Genomic DNA, 17258 nt, shown 5'->3' on the forward strand with positions numbered 1-17258 from the left:
CTGGGGGACAGAGCGAGACTCTGTCTCAAAAAAAAAAAAGAAAGCAAAGAAAATGTCAACTACTATTTTAAGTAAACAAATAATACAAATTGTTTCTAATCTTTATTTTAGAGATGTTGCAAATATGGACCAGAGACTGCAGAAAGCTAGCCAGATCAAAGGCCAGCAGTTAAAGGCAGTAACTATAGTTAACTCCCAGTTGACCCAATAGAAGGAAGAGCCTTGACCCGAGTAACACCCAGCCACTGATTTTTTTTTAATCTTTTCTTTTTAACTTTGGGATGCATCATGGTGATAATAATGATGATAAATAATCAGATTTGCCTTGCTTATTAGAGTTGACTTGGTCTGCTATTTAAATGAGTTTCTAATTCCCTGCTCACACCAGACTGACAACCGAAACCTTCTGGGTGGCAAAGGGAATCAGCCTGCCTGGGATTAAGATTTTTCCATGGTTAATCTCCAAAGTGAGGAACCTACGTGTGAGTAATTGAGAGCTGACAGCATTTCGTTGGATCAGTTTTGCCTAGTCAGACAGGGAGAGGGCTAAGCCTTGGAAAGACAATAGGGTAAGACAAGAGGAAGTTGACAGAGTGTGACTTCTATCCATTTCTCAGCCTTGCTTGCACAACCTGCCCTAGCTCAGGTGAAGTTGGCCCTGCATTCTTTGTCTCTTATTTGCTCATTTCCAACAAACCTTTCATTTGGTCCAAGGGTAAAAAGAAAAAGAAAAAAGTCGCCATGACATCTCTGTTTTGTTCAACCCCACATTCACGGAGCATTTACTATATGTTAGGCACTGTTAGGTGCTCTGGATGTGTCAAGTCCCTGCGAGCTCCCTTTCCTGCGGAGGGCAGGTTCCAGTGGAGACACTCATCATTGCACGCACGGCCCAGGAAATGGGCATCTCCCTGGGCAAGTTCTCCTCATTTTCCTCCTTTCCTGCTTCCTCCTGCGTTTCTCAAGGGCTCTCTTCCTCTCACTCTTCTCTGTCATTCCCTCAAGGTCTTTCTAGCCCTTCTTAGTTTTCTCTCCTACCCTCTTTACCTTTCCCTCCTTTTTAAGATCCTTCTTTTCCTTTTACATTTTCAAGGGCTTTCTCTCTTTTTTTTTTCCTATTAAAATACATTTTTTGCCTAGCGCAGTGGCTCACGCCTTTAATCCCAGCACTTTGGGAAGCTGAGGAGGGCGGATCACTTGAGGACAGGAGTTTGAGACCAGTCTGGCCAACATGGTGAAATCTTGTCTCTATTAAAAATAATACAAATTAGCTAGGCATGGTGGTGGCGCCTGTAATCCCAGCTACTTGGGAGGCTGAGGCAGGAGAATCGCTTGAACCCAGGAGGAGGAGGTTGCAGTGAGCCGAGATTGCGCTACTGCACTCCAGACTGGGTGACAGAGTGAGACTCTGTCTCAAAAAAACAAAAATAATAAAAAATAAATTTCTGAGAAAGAAAATAGTTTCTTTTTTTTTCTATTTTTCTGTTTTTTTTAAACCTCTTTCCTAATTACTTACAAGGAAAAAAAAGAAGGCAGCCCTCCCTCTCAATCTCTCAGTTCTTTTGCTTAGAAGACAAAAGATCCTTCAGAATTAGAGAGGAAGAGGGGAAAAGAAAAAAAAAAAGATTCCAGTTAAAAATCTTAAAAATCTTCATCAGGGTCAAAAACCTGACAGAAAAGCTTTGTTTGAAGGGAATGTGAAGGGGGAGGAGGAGGGAACTGGCAACCGGCAACTCTCAACCTCAAAAGGCAAAATATCTTGAGAGTTGAAGGAAATCTGGAGATAGTGAACACTCCCATTGAAGTAGTGGAATAGCTTTGATTTCCTTTTTAGCCAGAGAGTCTTGTCCTTTTGAGGCTGGTGGAATATGCTGAGAGGAAGAATTGGGGGGGTGGGAAGCAGGAAACTGCCATTTTAATTTCACCCTGGGTCAGAATTGTCAGGAGTTAGGGTGACTGCAAAGAAGCCCTAGGCCTGAAGCCTCAGGCTCTGGTGTGCCGCACCACACCACAGGTCCCAGCCTAATACTTCCCAGAAAGGGAATGAAGCAGGGAGTAGGCAGAGTCAGGGGGCAGGGGAAGGGCTGTGGGAACTGATGTAGAGGGCTGGTGATGGTGAAGCTGGTGAAGCCCCGGGAGAGACCTGTGGGCAGGTAGGAGGCAGCTCATAGCATGGCCATGGAGCCAGGAGGCATCAGAGCGTGAGATGGTGCCAACCTGGGAATGCAGTGTGGCCTGTAGGGAAGCAAGGTTCTAATTGGTCAGCTGCTCTAGGACTTTGAGGAGAAAAGACTCAGAGATGTCCCTTGATTGGAGGAAGGGCGAAAGCAAAAAGTAGCATGGGGCATTATTGAAAGGGTGTCAAGAATGGGACTGCTAGAATGAGGAAGCAAACATAAAGCTGGACACCCAGACAAGGAGGAGCCCTGGAAAAAGAGGGGAAGGGTAAAGAGGGGGCCTCCTTCCCTGGAGGCCATCTGATGAGGGTCGATGGGCCAGTTTGAGAACCATTTGTGGCAAGCGTTTAAATCCCAGGCTGCTTTTTGCCCCAGTACCTGGTATCCAGCCATCGATTGATGTGCTACGAGAGAAGATGAACCAATTTTATTATTAGCCTGAACAAAACATAATTAGGAGGAGAAATTTGCTTCTGCTGTTGCAGTTGCTGCAGCAAAGAAGTTACATAAGGTTCATTCGGATGACTTGGGAACACCTTCCCTACTTCCCTATTCCTGTTCCCGTTTCTCTGGCTTGAACCAAGTAAATAGAGGTCCAGAGCCTCCACTCTGCCCTCTAGAAATTCCCAAGACAGAAATGTGCTCAAGGAGCAGATCTAAGACCCTCAGCCTATAGCGGACACGGAACAAGGGCACAAATCGAATAAGTCAGTGCATTGTCATGATGAACATGTGGACAAAGGCAAGAAAAGGGAGAAGGGACAAGAGAGAGGAGCAGACTGGAGGAGAAGGAATAAAGAGCTGAGGCATAGCTCTGCTCCTGTGATGTTAGAGGAAGGGAAGGTGGAAAAAAAAGGCATTGAATTATTCTCAGACAATTTCAGAAGGACCAGATGGATTCTGGAAGGAATTAACTCTGTTATGTCCTGTACTAGTATCATTACTACACTCTAAGATGGGCAAACGAAAGGATTTGGAGCATTTTGGCAGATACTCTTTGGGTGATTGAGAGGGGGAGGTAGGAGGGCATGGCTGTTGGGGTGACTATATGGGGGTCGCATTTGGGCTGAAAGTTAAGGCCACAGACACATCCCAGGCTGAGCTCCACACTGACCCCCTTAGACTGAGGCTTTCACTCAGGGCACTTAACTTGGGTGGAGGGAGGCAGGAGTGGAAACTCCAGGCCTAATTGCTAGGTCTCTCTCAGCTCTTCCAGGGAGCACGGGGCAGGAAATTCCTCAAATTCCAGGCTTGTAGGATCATTGCTGAGCTTAACCGCAGAGCAAGAGAAAGAGGCAGGAGAGGCAGAGAACTGCCTTCTCTCCATCTTTTTTTCCCTTGCAATTTTAAAGCTGCAGCAAATCAGAAGGGTTTGGAGGGGCTGATGGCTATGAGAGAGGCCCCAAGCATAACACCCCCGACCCCGGTAAAGAAAGTCCCAAGTCTGGGAATCCCAGAGAAATTAGTCCTGAATTGAGTAAGTTTGAAGTCAAAAATAGACTGCTGTGGCCCGGGATAAGCATTTTTCCCAGGGTGAATTTTTTTAGTTCTTCAGAATAGCCAGTGGAAAGGAAGTTGCTTTAGGAGCAAGAACTGTCTTGCTGAAATAAATGATGGCTGTGCAGGGAGCACATTGGAAGGGGTCTTGGGGTGGACAGAATTTCCTTTTGCTCTAAGGGTGAAACCAGTCAGGTCTCTCTCTTTCTGAGCTCTCCTCCCAGAGCACCTGGTCAGGATATCCCAGTCATCACCTCCGGGAAGATGATGTTCCCTGGATAGCCCATACATTTTCTCACCTCCATACCTAGCTAACACTGCTGCATCAGTCCCAATGACCCCACTTCCCATCCTTTACTCTCTGAGATCTGGATTTGCCTTCAAGATGCACCCCCCATGCCACTTTCTTAAGGTAGTCTTCTCAACTCCCCCCAAAGAATGAACTATTATTTTTGGGGGGCTTCCAAAGCAAATTGCTTTGAAATTCCAAAAGATCATACATTCTGTTTTAATCATAGTGGGTTGTTAAGCTCCTGCACTAGACTATAATGCTACTTGTGGATAGGGACTATGATTTGTTTATATCTGTAACTTCCGTCTCTTGCCTCTTTTCCCCAGCATAGAGCAGAATGACTGCCATACAGTAAATCAAAAAAAAAAAAAAAAAAAAAAGCCGTTGAGTGAATATCCCAGTTATTTGAGTGTGGATTATCCACTTGGTAGATCCCTATAATTAATGTTTAACTCAAAGTCTAGTTTCTCTTCCAGCTCAGCTCCTGGTACTATCACGTAATATGTGCTCAGAGAATGCAAACAGTTTTTAAATATTATCTTCAGTACGACATAATTAGGTGCTGCTAAAAATTCATTATCATGCTTTCCAAAGCCAAAAAGAAATAACTTTTGTATTATCCACTCCACTGCTCTTCCTCAGTGGTGTGGATAACTGAGACATAAACGTTTTCATCATAATTGATGATGGGACCACCTTACAGGGCCGCTGGATTTATTGGGTGCCAGGAGGAAGAAGCAGTGGCCCATATCTTCTGTAATTCTTTCTTCTCCAGTTGCTAAGCTCCTTGGATTTGCACAGAGCACTTAGAGTTGATGGTCCCACCCTCAGCAGCAACCTAAAAATGGCCAATGTGGGCTGGCATTGAGGAAGTATCTCGACCAAAACCTCAAAAATTCACAGTAAAAAATGCCGTATCCTAGGGCTCTTAATTTTTTTCTTGGTGGAATCATAAAATCCTTTTGGTTGTTCTTCAGACCTATTTGTCCCTCTTTTGTTATCAGAATTATTTTCTGGTGACCCGGAGAGATTCTTTCACTGCACTATATTGCAGATTCTCCACCAAAAAAGCAGAACTCAGCTGGCTGCATGATGCCAAAATGACTCCTTGCTTTGGCTAATTCAGTCAGCTGGTGAAAGTATCGTGGTATTATGGAAGGAGCCCTGTTTGAGGCATTACCCTCATCTTAGTTTCATTCCTGATTCTGCTACTAATAAGCTGTGTGACTTTGAACAGGTTGCTTAACCTCTCTGGGCTTTGGTAATCATAATCCCTAACATGTGGAAGTTGGGCTAGGTAAAAGCAGAGGCTCTTTTTAGCTATAACTCTATGTGTAAGTCTGTAATTGAGGTTAAGAAGAAATGTGCATATACATGACTTTTGACTGAATACTATTTACTTTCTATAACAGGTTACAGGATATATATAAAATTATGTTTTCAGTCTCCCTCCCTTTCCTGGGAAAGACTGAATAGGCCCTAGAGGTTCTGGGGGTGTGGCAGCTGTGGTGGGCTTTACAAAAGGGGTTTTTTTGGTTCCTTCTGTTCACTTGTAAGGTTTCAAAGAAAATTGTGCCTATACTTATCAGGATATATGTAAGCAACTGCAGAGAAATGCCATGTAACCTGAGGTGTTAAGTACTGAAGGGACAGGAAATAATACTGGGTGTGGTTATGGATAGTGCTAGTTTGGCCAGGCTTCCTTAAAGAGGTAAATCTGGAGCAGGGCTCAGCAGGAGGAGACATGGCATGGATTGTAAGGGGAGAAAGAAATCCACTCCAGGTGTGTGGGTGGGTGCGGTTGGGGTGGGGCTCGGTGGGTAGTTATTAAAGCTTTATGCACCTGGATTCCTAGTAGGCAGCTATTTTGGGTTCTGGAGAAGTGGGTCAACATAATGAAGTTTGGGAGGCTGCATTCTGATTTCTGGGCACATAAACCTGGGGAAGGCATGAAGCAAGGAGGATGCTGAAGGGCCATTATCATCCAAATGAGACCAGTGGGATGTAAAGGATAAGAGCATTATAAGTATCCCAAAAAAGAGAATCTCAGAATTATTTCTATTTGAGCATTTAACTTGTGCTAAACACCTACTATGTTCTGGGATGTCCGTTCTGGAAAGGACCTTAGAGGTAATCTGTTCTATGAATTATGAAACTGAAGATCAGAGAAGGGATGCAAACTGCCCAGTGCCACCCAGCGGATTCTGACAGAAGCAGAACTAGAAGCCCTGATTCCTTACTCCCACCCTACTGTTCTTCTTGCTACAGCTAAAAAACACCCATATTCTTTGACTTCACTTTCCCTATTGAATTTACATCTAGTGCCAAAGGGGCACCACTGGGAACACCCAGGACCCCTACTATAGATGTGCTTCCCACTATGGTTAAAAGTTAGGACTTGTCCCAGATCCTTTGCCAGCTGCTGAAATCCAGGCCCTGAGATTTAAACTCCCCAAACAGCCTCCAGAACAGATTGCATAATAACTTAATCGGAAGGGCGGGAGAGAGGGTCCAAGTGTTCAGGCAAGTACCACTCTGCCAGCTCCTCTCCACATCTGCATCTGTGGGCCTTCTGCTAAAGTGCCAGCGCCCTAGCCTGTTTCCAGCCTCTTCCTCCCACACACCTGCACACCCGCACACTCTTACCTGTGTATACTCAGTCTGGGTGCAAATGAAGAGAGACCTGGGGTTAGGTCCAGGAGCAACTAGAGTGACCACCCTGGGTGATGTGAGGGTCCACGGGTGTCTTCTGAAGTTCTTTTTGGAGGCCTATGTGGCCCCTGTTTTCTCCTCTCCACAGGTTTTGGCTGCAGCCATGAAGCAGGCCAAACAAATGCAAAGGTCATGGCCTGGAAGGTTATGCCTTTTTCTTCGGGCCTTGGAAAGGGCAAAAAGTGCAAGTTGTGTCCCTAGGCATCATTCCAGGCCCCATTTTCCTTTGGGAGTGGTGGGGAGTGGCAGGAGAGAGCTGGCCCCCAGTGGACTGGGCCATGCCTTATCATTCTTGTCTACAAAAAAACTCCCTCACCCTCTTATTGATGGTGAGGGCTCTGTAGTTTTAGACGGTCAATAGTATGTTTTCATTTCAGTTAGTTTCAATTCAGCAAGCATTTATTGAGTGCCAGGCACTGTTCAGTGCTGAGGAAACAGAGATGAATACAATATGGTTACTTGCCTTCCAGTTAAGTAAATTTTCACTTAAGAACAATAATACCAGTCTCAAATATAGCAAAGAGACAGACTACAAGGGAAAGTATTTTGGAGTGAGCATAAGAGGCATAATTACAGGAATCCCCACACCAGACAGGACCATCTATTCTCCATTCTCCGTTTAAAAGGCAGCTGGGTACCATGGAAAGAGCACAAGTAGGGGGACCGGGAGACTTGTGTGTCTTCTACCAGCCTTGCCATTAATATCCTGGGTGCACCGGGAAAATCATTTTACTGCTCTAACATTCAGTGTCCTAACTCTAAATTGAGACAGGATTAAATAATTTCTTAGATCTCTTCCAGCTTTAAGATGGAGTCAATCCAGGACGGCTTCCTGAAAGAAGTACAATTTCAGGAACTGTTTGGAAAGTGGAAAGAAAACGTTAAGTTATTGTGCTGCGAAAGGTGTCCTGTTGTCAAATATCTTGGTAAAATGGAGATAGGAATGTGTGGTAGTGGGAGGGGATGGAAGAGACACAGGGTTTTTATTGTTGTTGTTGTCGTTGTTTTCTTTTGACGAAGTCTCGCTCTGTCACCCAGGCTGGAGTGCAGTGGCATGATCTCGGCTAACCACAACCTCTGCCTCCCGGGTTCAAGTGATTCTCTTGCCTTAGCCTCTCAAGTAGCTGGGATTGTAGGTGCATGCCACTGCACCTGGCTAATTTTTTGTATTTTTGGTAGAGACGGGGTTTCACCATGTTGGCCAGGCTAGTCTCGAACTCCTGACCTCAGGTAATCCACCCACCTGGGCCTCCCAGAGTGCTAGGATTACAGGCGTGAGCCACTGCGCCCGGCCTGGTTTTGTTGTTGTTGTTGTATTTTTTTTTTTTTTTTTTTTTTTTTTGAGACAGAGTATTGCTCTGTCTCTCAGGCTGGAGTGGAGTGGTGCGATCTCTGCTCACTGCAACCTCCACCTCCTGGGTTCCAGCTATTTTCCTGCCTCGACCTCCCTAGTAGCTGGGACTATAGGTGTGTGCCACCACACTCGGCTAATTTTTGTATTTTTAGTAGAGACAGGGTTTCACCATGATGGCCAGGCTGGTCTCGAACTCCTGACTTCAGGTGATCCACCCACCTCCGCCTCCCAAAGTGCTCCAATTACAGGTGTGAGCCACTGCACCCGGCTGAGACACAGGGTTTTGAACAGGTATTGTTAACAGGTAGTGTAGGAAGTGGTAGACCCAGAGGATGAGGGTGGGAAGGCCCTTGGATCCAACTGTAGAATGCCATACCTGAAAACATAACGGTTTATAGAGGAGAACTTGAAACAGATCTGGCAAAGGGGATCGTGGTGTTTTCCCTGTGTCCCTTCCCCGACCCAGTTCCCCAGGGTCCACCCTGACCTCAGAATTGAAGCAGCTCAGCACCAGTGGCATTTTTAGAAGGAAGGGAGGGGTGCGGAAAAACCAAATTAAGTAACTCCTTGGAGGTGGGCACTTCTTGCCCTAAGCTGAGGAAACCAGACCAAAAAAAGAGATCCTCCCTTCCGATTTCTTCAGCCACCACTGTGAGCAGCCCAAGTGTGGCTGGCAGACATCCTGTCCCCGAGGGACCCATGGACACTCAAAGCCTGTTCCTTTGTAGCCGCCTCCTCTGTGTGGAGAAAGCATCTTCCATTTTCTTCTGACCCTGCAAACTGACCTGTCACTGGGTCTCACATTCTGGACTAATGCGTGGATTGAATGCAGGGGAGCGCTTTGGATGAGAAAAGTCAGATGGGTCCTCCTCAAGTTCCCCCCATTCTCTCTTCCCACCGGGAAAGGGAAAGAATGCATGCACAGATTTCTTTCAGGGTGGCGGAGACACCGAGTGGAGCAATGACAGGCCCTGTTAGGCCCAGGAATGAAGAGGAATGGAGTAAGAAAAGGGGAAAGAGAAAACTCGGGGAAACGACAGAGAAAGGGGAGCTGGGAATAAGCAGAGCAGAGGCCAGAGGTGAAGCAAAAGGGCAGGAGAAGCAAGGAACTGAAGACTCTGAGGAGGGACAAAGGCTAAGGGTGCCCCAGGGAGAAGGGCATCGGAGACAGGATCTGAGAAAGGAAACAAAGGAGAGAGATGGGGGTGGGGGACGGCCAAAAAATGGTCTAGAGAGGAAGGAAGAAGGAAAAGTCCAGAAGGAAAAACAGCCAGAGAAAGAAGAGAGAGAGGAGAGAAGATAAACAGAGCAAGACGAGGCCAGGCGGGAAGAGATGCAGCCAAGAGCAGCACCGAAGAGGAGAAGCAGAGGCCAGAGGGTGAGAAGATGGGAGAGGAAATGGGAGCAAAGGAGATGGAGAGGAGAGGGCAAGCAGAAGAGGCAGAACCCGGGGAGGGAGCCACAGAAGAGGCACGCATGGCTGGTTTAATGAGCCACTCTTCTTTCCCACTCCCCAGGAGAGGCTGCTGCTAATTATGCCTTCATCCTCCTGGGCAGGAGGAGGTCAGGATGTCTGAAGAAATGCCCTCCCCCAGCAGAAGGGCTGGGGGAGGTGGCGTGAAGGGAGGATGGGCTGGGGCAGGGGCAAGTAGGAGTGCTGAGCTGGCAGGACAGCAGATGGGACCCCTGCCCTGGTTCCTGCAGGCCTCTCTCCCTGCCAGTCCTGGTGGGGTGGTGGGAGGGGGCACACCTATTTGACTTGGCACTCTGGCACTGCCTTCCTCTTGACTAAGTCATAAGAAGGCCAAAGGCTGAGTGAGAAGCAGAGAAGGAGCTGCAGGCTGGGGTTTCTACTCCCCAGCACCTCCATGGGGCCTTTTTCTTTGCCCTGTATTTCTGTCTGGTACTGATGCTTTGCCCTCTGAATCTCAGAGGCACAGAAAGCACACCAGGGGTAGGTGGAATTCCAGCCTCTGGCCGGTGTGGCTTCTTCCCTCTTCCTGTCCTGCCAGGTAATGTATAGAAGCTAGGTCTAGTATATCTTCACTGTAGACTTGCTTATCTGGGCTCACTGACTGGACATCCTCTAGGCCCCGTGGAGGACCCACCACTGTTAACCTAATGAGAACATGCAGGAGATGGGGACAGCATACTTAGAGAAATACAAGGGAATGGGACGCTATGTGGAAAAGTGGAAACAACATGGTTTTGAAGGGAGACATACTTGGTTATCATCCCAGCTATATCACTTACTAGGTCTTGGGCAAATGTCCAAGCATCAGTTGCTTTATTAGCTAACCAAGTGCCAGATACCCTTAAAAGTGATATATTACTTTATGTGATCTTCCCAATGATCCTATGAGGTAGATATTTTATCATCCCCATTTTACAGAACAGGAATCGGAGTCACAGAGAAGTAACTTGTCCAGTCTCACAGCTAAGATGTGACAGAGCAGCTGGGATTGGAGTCAGACAGTCTGGCCTGGAGACTATGCTCCTAATCTCCATGCTCCAAAGCTGAATGAAAAAAAGCAAACTGTTTTTCCTCTGCTCTGCACCCCCCCACCCCCTACAACAGTCAACACAGAAGACTTCTGTGACCAAATGTGTGGGGTTTTCCCTGCACTTCCAGCAAGCAATCAGTCTTCCAGTAAGCAAGCAATCCTTTAGCAGACTTGGGCTGGGTGTCCTTCAATTCAACTCTGACACTATCTACCTGGAGATAGCATCAGATCCCCCAGGTTGAGGGCTCAGTCCCACAAGACTGTCCCCCACTTCCAATATCAATCGCAAGCCCCGCATTGTTTTACCTGCGCTTCTGACTGGCTGGCTACAAATTGGGGTTCCCAAGACCCCATCCTGAGGTTTTATTCCTTTTCTCTAGTGGCTCAAAGAGGTAGGAAACACATTTACTGGTTTTTCATAAAAGGATAGTAGAAAGGATATAGATAAAGAGAGGCACAGAGCAAGGCACGTGGGAAGGAATGTGGAGCTTCCATGCCTTCTCTGGGCGTGCTACCCTCCAGGAACCTCCCTGTGTTCAGCTACCTGGAAGATCTCGGAATCCTGTCCTTTTGGGGTTTATGAAGGCTTCATTACATAGGCATGATTAATGAAACCATTGGTCACTGGTGATCAACTTAACCTTCAGCCCCTCTTCCCTCCCTAGAGGTTGGGGTATGGAGCTGAAGGTTTCAACCCTCTAATCCTGCCTTGGTTTGTCTGGTGAACACCTCTCATACTGAAGCCACCAAGGGGCTGCCAGCCACCAGTCAATTCATTAGCATACAGAAAGACACTTATCGCTTGGGAGATTCCAAGGACTTTAGGAGTATATGCCAAGAGCCAGGACCAAATATGTATTTCACAATATCACAAAAGTCTTTCTCAGAAATGAGGATAATACACAGGTGTGTGGGGAAAATTAGATCAGCTGAAAGCACTTGGCGCATAGTAGGTCCTCAATATGTTTGTGTTGTCTCAGAGCAAAGCAGTAGATGTTAAATTGCCTTGTGAGTAGCATAGCCAGGAAGCTCCCAGCAACAAATTACTTCTTATTAGGGTGCTTGGAAAAGGATTGACCTTCAGGAAGAATTAATAGGATTTCAGTCTTAGGGATAGTGCAGGGGCAGCCCCAGGGAAGGAATGATAGAGACCACTTCAAAAAAGACCCACGCTCCCACCTCCCCATTATACTTCCCTGCAGGTTTTAATAATGCTATTTCTCATCACCTCCCTACACAACTCCTCCTCCGCTCTCCCACCCTACCATGTCCCTGAGGTAGGGTCTGCTCATTCCTGCCCCCAGGCTTGGAACATGCCACTGTCTCTGCCGGAATGCCGTCTCTCTCCACAACTAACCTTGACCTTCATCTTCTGCCAAAGCAGCTGCAGTGGTCTGCAGGAACTGAGACTTTATTAGCCTTGTCTGCCTGCGCAGGGGCTGTTGGGCACCTGGGTCCTCAGGGTGTACCTTTGCATGGTAATTTGCACTAGTTGGTCTGCCCTTGAATAAACCCTCCCTAATGTTGGGGAGTGTGTAGCTGTGTGATGTGTCCCATCCAGAATGGCTAGAGAAGGGTTAATGCAACTTAAATGAAATTTAGGGAGAATTTGGGTTGCTTCTTTCCTCTTTAGTTGTTCCCAAAGCTGGATGCAAATTCTGCTTTTAATTGTAGCAACTAGCTTTTGCAAGGATCTCTGGAGTATTCATTCCATTTGCGATGATATACCAGGCCTTTGCAAGGCATAGGGGCCATAGTTTCCACTGAGGCTGGAAAGCCCAGGAGGCATTTTCCTGGGATGCTTCCACATCTTAGGGATTTGCTCAGTTGTTATTTTTTCAATTATTTTTTCTATTTTTTTAACTTATGTAACTGAAAACTACATAGCACTTCTCAGTTTACTAGGGATTTCACAGTCTCTTTATTTAATTTTCACTACAGTCTTGTGAAGTAGGTATTATTATGTCCATTTCATAGGTGCACAAGCTAATAACTGAGAGGCTAATTCTCTTGCCCTGGGTCTTGGTAGAACCAGATAAAGTCAGGATGCAGAACTTGACCTTCTCCAGGTATTAGTGTACATTCCACTGCACAACACTGTCTGGTGAAAATTCCCCTACCTAGAGGGCTCATATCCCTTTAAGTTGAAATAAATGACCTTTATCTTTGTGGTCATCTGTTCAAACCTTTATTAAACACATAATTGCGTCTGGCTCAGTGTGGATGTAGTATAAAGAGATACGTATGGTCCAGCCCCTGCCTTTGGGGCCTGCAGTCTAAGCCAGAGGCATTGACATGGAAAAACCTGTACAGGGCATGTACAGCAGAATGAAAACAATAACCTATCGTGAATCAACAGCAAAGTATTTACAAGACTGTGCAAGGCAAGGGTAAGCGCATTCAGGCATAAGACAGAAGGAATAACTCTTGCCAAGGTGCCTGGGCAGATCTCCACAGTGCTAGACCACAGAGTGCATCTTCAATAGCTGCCCTAATTCTCTCTCCCTATTGCTGTAACAAAAACCTGTGTGTGTGTGTGTGTGTGTGTGTGTGTGCACGTGCGCGCGCATGCACACATGCATGCATGTGCATATATGCACGTATGTATAATGCACATAAAATATGTATAATTTTAAAATATTATTCTTCAGGCTGCCAATGTACAATTGGGTTGGTTAGAAGGTGAATAGTTATGGGAGTCTTATATTTAGATAATGATGGGGAAACTTTTAGCCCTCCTGTAGCAGTATAGTGAAATTTATTCTCCTCCGATGTACATCTAGTTTATCTCTTAACACTGAGCCTTTATGAGATGGAATGAGCACCTGTAATATAGGAGAGAGAGAGAGAGAAGCAAATAGCAACTCTGAAATCAGAGAGATACGAACTTTAATCCTAGACCTGCTAATGTTCAGACACAATTGTGACATTGCACAATTTATCTGAGCTTACTGAGTCTCAGTTGCCTCACATGCAATTGGGAAAATTATCTCTACCTTGCAGGGCTGTTCAGAGAATTAAGTGAGATAGTATAAGTAAAGCACTCTATAACCTGATGGCTTAATGTATTTTTGTTAAATTTTTAATTTTATATTTTTAGTAGGTAATGTACGTAGTACAAAATATAAAAACTACAAGAAAAATAGTGAAAATAACTCTCTCCCATCATTATCTTCTAGCTACCATTTCTCTTAACCTTAAGTATTTTGGTCCTTACAAAATCCCTGTGTATAAGGCAGGTCAGGGTTTTTGATTTTTATTTCTCAGGTATGGAAATTGAAGCCCAGAGAGATTAAATGGTTACCTGAAGTTACCCACATGAAAGTGGTGGGACTAGAACCCACATCTTCCTGTTAGTACCCCAGCTTGTTGTATTTCATGTTTCACACTAGAAGATGTGGTCAGAGATGGACCCCAGGCTGCTGAATTTTGTGACTTTGGGACCATAAACTCTTTTGAGAATCTTATGGAAGTTATGGATCCTTTCTTTCTCACCCTCACATACACATGCCATTCAGACTTGCATATATTTTAGATGGTTTCTCAAACACTAGAATTTCAAAAGTCTAAACCATCCCAATACCTTTATATCATCACCAGGGTTTTAGCTCTATAGGACTTCTCTGGAGAGCAGTGGAGTGTGCTCAGTGACCTGCAAACCGAACCTGCTCCCCAGGGAGCCCAAAGTTCTGGAGTCAGAAGATCTGGGTTCTACTCCAGGCCGTCGCATATCTTAGCTTTGTGACCTTGAGTGAGTCCTTCAATTTCTCTGACCTTAATTTTCTTTGTCTGTTAAATGGGGTTGGTATTCTCTGTCCCCAGGAGCTGTGAACTAACATTTATAAAGTCATTTTGCAAATTGTGAAATTACAAACAAATCTAATATATTATTTCTCCCTGCTAGGCCTGGAGCAGGTGAGAAAACCAGAAAGAAGTAGTCTCATACCTGGAATTTCATCCAGTAGCTGGAGTACCTGTCCTATGTGGTAGAGGCTGTCCAGCCATGCACCCCCTCTCTGGATTTGGTACCCAGAGTCAAGATCCCCAGGAGTAGGTGTGAGTGCTGACTCATGTTGCACTGAACATCCCATCATCAAATCCCAGCTCCATCTGCTCATCCTGGTCCAAAGTGGACGATAATCCCATTGTTAAGACATGTCTCATTAAGACTTCTCTAAGATGGAGCCAGCAAACAGCCCAGTAGCATCGAGGCTGCTGCCTGGGAAAGAGTCCCCTCCTCTCCCCTGTTCATTAATGATTATGGGAGGTTTTATTCCCCCCAACAAAAGTGTTAATTAGACATCATCGGAACAGGGATATTACACAAATGAATTAAACTCAAACCAATCAACAAGCTGGCTCTGTGCTTCAGGTCCCCCGAACGAAAAGGGAATTGAAGGCTGTAATGGGAAACAAACGGTAAGATGTCTTTCCTAATATCAAATAATAACTAGGAAGGCTGCCTTTGCTTCTAGAACTTGTCTTCTTATTCTTTTCTTTCTCCCCTCCACTAAACACACACACGCGCGTGCACACACACACATGCACACACACGCACTGCCATGAGGCTTGGAGAGTTAGGGTTCCATTCTTGTGACTGAAACTGAAACTGGCTGGGACTGCCCAGTGGTACTTCTCAGGTGCCCTCTAGGCTCAGGGGCCAAGTGGGATGGAAGGAGTCAGAAGAGCCCAGTTCCAGTCCCTCTCTGTCACTCACCACCTTCCTCATCAGAGAATAGTGTGTGTAATGCTCAGGAGTTCACAGGGATGCAGTAGGTACTCAATACTTACCTGCTGTGTCCAAATGGCTGGGCGACTTCTGGAAGCATTCTGTGCCCTGGCAGCAAATTCCTGAGGCTGATTGACCCCTGTGGGGAGAGTGGGAAGAACTGGAGGGAAAAGAGTTTTAGTCCTTGTATTTTGAGGGATCCCAGTTGCTTGGAGGGATAGATAAAGAAGATTGAAAAGTCTTCTAAAAATGGACAGATGAAGCCAGTGCAATGGCTCATACCTGTAATCCCAGCACTTTGGGAGGCAGAGGCAGGAGGAGCACTTGACCCCCAAAATTTGAGACTAGCCTGGGCAACAGGGTTAGAAACCATTTCTACAAAAGAAAAACAATTAGCCTGGTGTGGTGGTGCATACCCTTGGCCCCAGCTACTTGAGAGGCCAAGGTGGAAGGATTGCTTGAGCCTAGGTGGCTGAGCCTGCGGCTGTGATCACACAACTGCACTCCAGCCTGGGCAACAGAGCCAGATCCTATAAATGAGAAAAAGAAAAGAAAAGAAAAACAAACAAACAAACACACTTGCAAATGAGAACAAGATAGGACAAAATTAAGTATTAAGAATTTAATGTATGATGGGAACTGGGGACTGGTGTCCATGGGGGAAACTAGATCAGGGTTGAGAAGTCAGGGGCAGGGATTCTCATGGCTTCCACAGGGCTGGGAGATGGCTGGAGAGGATAAGGAGGAGCTGGGCCTGTCTGGCTGAAGCAGGAAGTTCAGGCTTGGGAGCAGGGAGATGAGGTTGGGGTAATGAGAGGCTGGCTGTGTGTTGACTCCCTGAAGGCAGGGCTGACTTTCCTCTAGCGTCTCAATCTCAGGAACATAGTAGGTGCTTGAATGCCTGTATGAAGTTGGCTTCTGTGCAAATAAATGGGCTGTAAGGGAACTTGTCTCTGGAATTAGTAGGAGTCAGAAGGCAACTGAAGGCAGAATTTAAAAACTATTTTTCTTGGGAACAGGATGCAGAGGGTGGAAGTGTGGAAAAGGAAGTCCATTCAAAGGTCTCCCTGCAGGTCTGAGAAGAGATGAGCTCTGGATATCCCTTCCTTTAACTCCAGGTGTGTCCCAGGCGTAAGAACCGCCCCCCACCTCCCACCTTTCACTGCTTGTCCCCAGCCTCCTTATAAATCATTCCCAGCCTGTGATGGGGAATCCCCACTTTCTTTTTCTTTTTTCTTTTTCTTTTTGAGATGGAGTCTTGTTCTGTTGCCCAGGATGGAGTGCAATGGCACAATCTCGGCTCACTGCAACCTCCACTTCCCGCGTTCAAGCAATTCTCCTGTCTCAGCCTCCCGAGTAGCTGAGACCACAGGCATGTGCCACCACAACTGGCTAATTTTTGTATTTTTAGTAGAGACGCGGTTTCACCATGTTGGCCAGGCAGGTCTCGAACTCCTGACCTCAAGTGATCTGCCCGCCTCAGCCTCCCAAAGTGCTGGGATTACAGGCCTGAGCCACTGCGCCCGGCCGGGATCCTCACTTTCTTCTTTTTGAGACGGAGTTTCGCTGTTGTCACCCAGGCTGGAGTGCAATGGCGCGATCTTGCTGCAACCTCTGCCTCCCAGGTTCAAGCGATTCTCCTGCCTCAGCCTCCCCAGTAGCTGGGATCACAGGCGCCCACCACCATGCCCAGCTAATTTTTGTATTTTTGGTAAAGACGGGGTTTCACCATGTTGACCAGGCTGGTCTCAGACTCCTGACCTCAGGTGATCCACTCGCCTCGGCCTCCCAAAGCTCTGGGATTACAGGCGTGAGCCACCGTGCTAGGCCCCGACTCACATTTGAGAGTACCCCCACCACTATCCCCATGCCTCACCTTTAAAGGAAACATCGGGGCTTTCCATGAGTGGCCGCCTTCCCTTTCGAGGAGCACCTTGCAGTTCTGGGCTGGATGGTGACTTTTTGGCATCAGTGCTCCACAGTGCCTTCTCTT

At 46.4% G+C, this 17258-nt stretch overlaps 1 protein-coding gene and 1 long non-coding RNA gene across 5 annotated transcripts in view, besides 2 other annotated features; both read left to right on the forward strand.

Moving 5' to 3' along the window:
* Window positions 1-17258, forward strand: part of KIRREL1 (kirre like nephrin family adhesion molecule 1) — a 106618-nt gene that overhangs the window by 22632 nt on the left and 66728 nt on the right. The gene's annotated exons all lie outside the window — the stretch shown is intronic.
* Window positions 3061-3746: an enhancer, noted in NCBI's record as "OCT4-NANOG-H3K27ac hESC enhancer chr1:157989127-157989812 (GRCh37/hg19 assembly coordinates)". NCBI's record gives its function as "activates a minimal SCP1, AML or CMV promoter by ChIP-STARR-seq in naive H9 embryonic stem cells {active_cell/tissue: H9 hESC(naive)}" and the evidence as "EXISTENCE:reporter gene assay evidence [ECO:0000049][PMID:30033119]".
* Window positions 3283-3577: an enhancer, noted in NCBI's record as "tiled region #389; HepG2 Activating non-DNase unmatched - State 10:DNaseD". NCBI's record gives its function as "activates a minimal TATA promoter and a strong SV40 promoter by Sharpr-MPRA in HepG2 cells {active_cell/tissue: HepG2}" and the evidence as "EXISTENCE:reporter gene assay evidence [ECO:0000049][PMID:27701403]".
* Window positions 9274-15822, forward strand: KIRREL1-IT1 (KIRREL1 intronic transcript 1). Its single transcript, NR_145471.1, has 2 exons — window positions 9274-9410; window positions 14441-15822. It is a non-coding gene; the product is annotated as a KIRREL1 intronic transcript 1 (long non-coding RNA).

This window comes from Homo sapiens, chromosome 1 (assembly GCF_000001405.40).
Source record: "Homo sapiens chromosome 1, GRCh38.p14 Primary Assembly".
In the NCBI taxonomy this organism is placed as follows: Eukaryota; Metazoa; Chordata; class Mammalia; order Primates; family Hominidae; genus Homo; species Homo sapiens.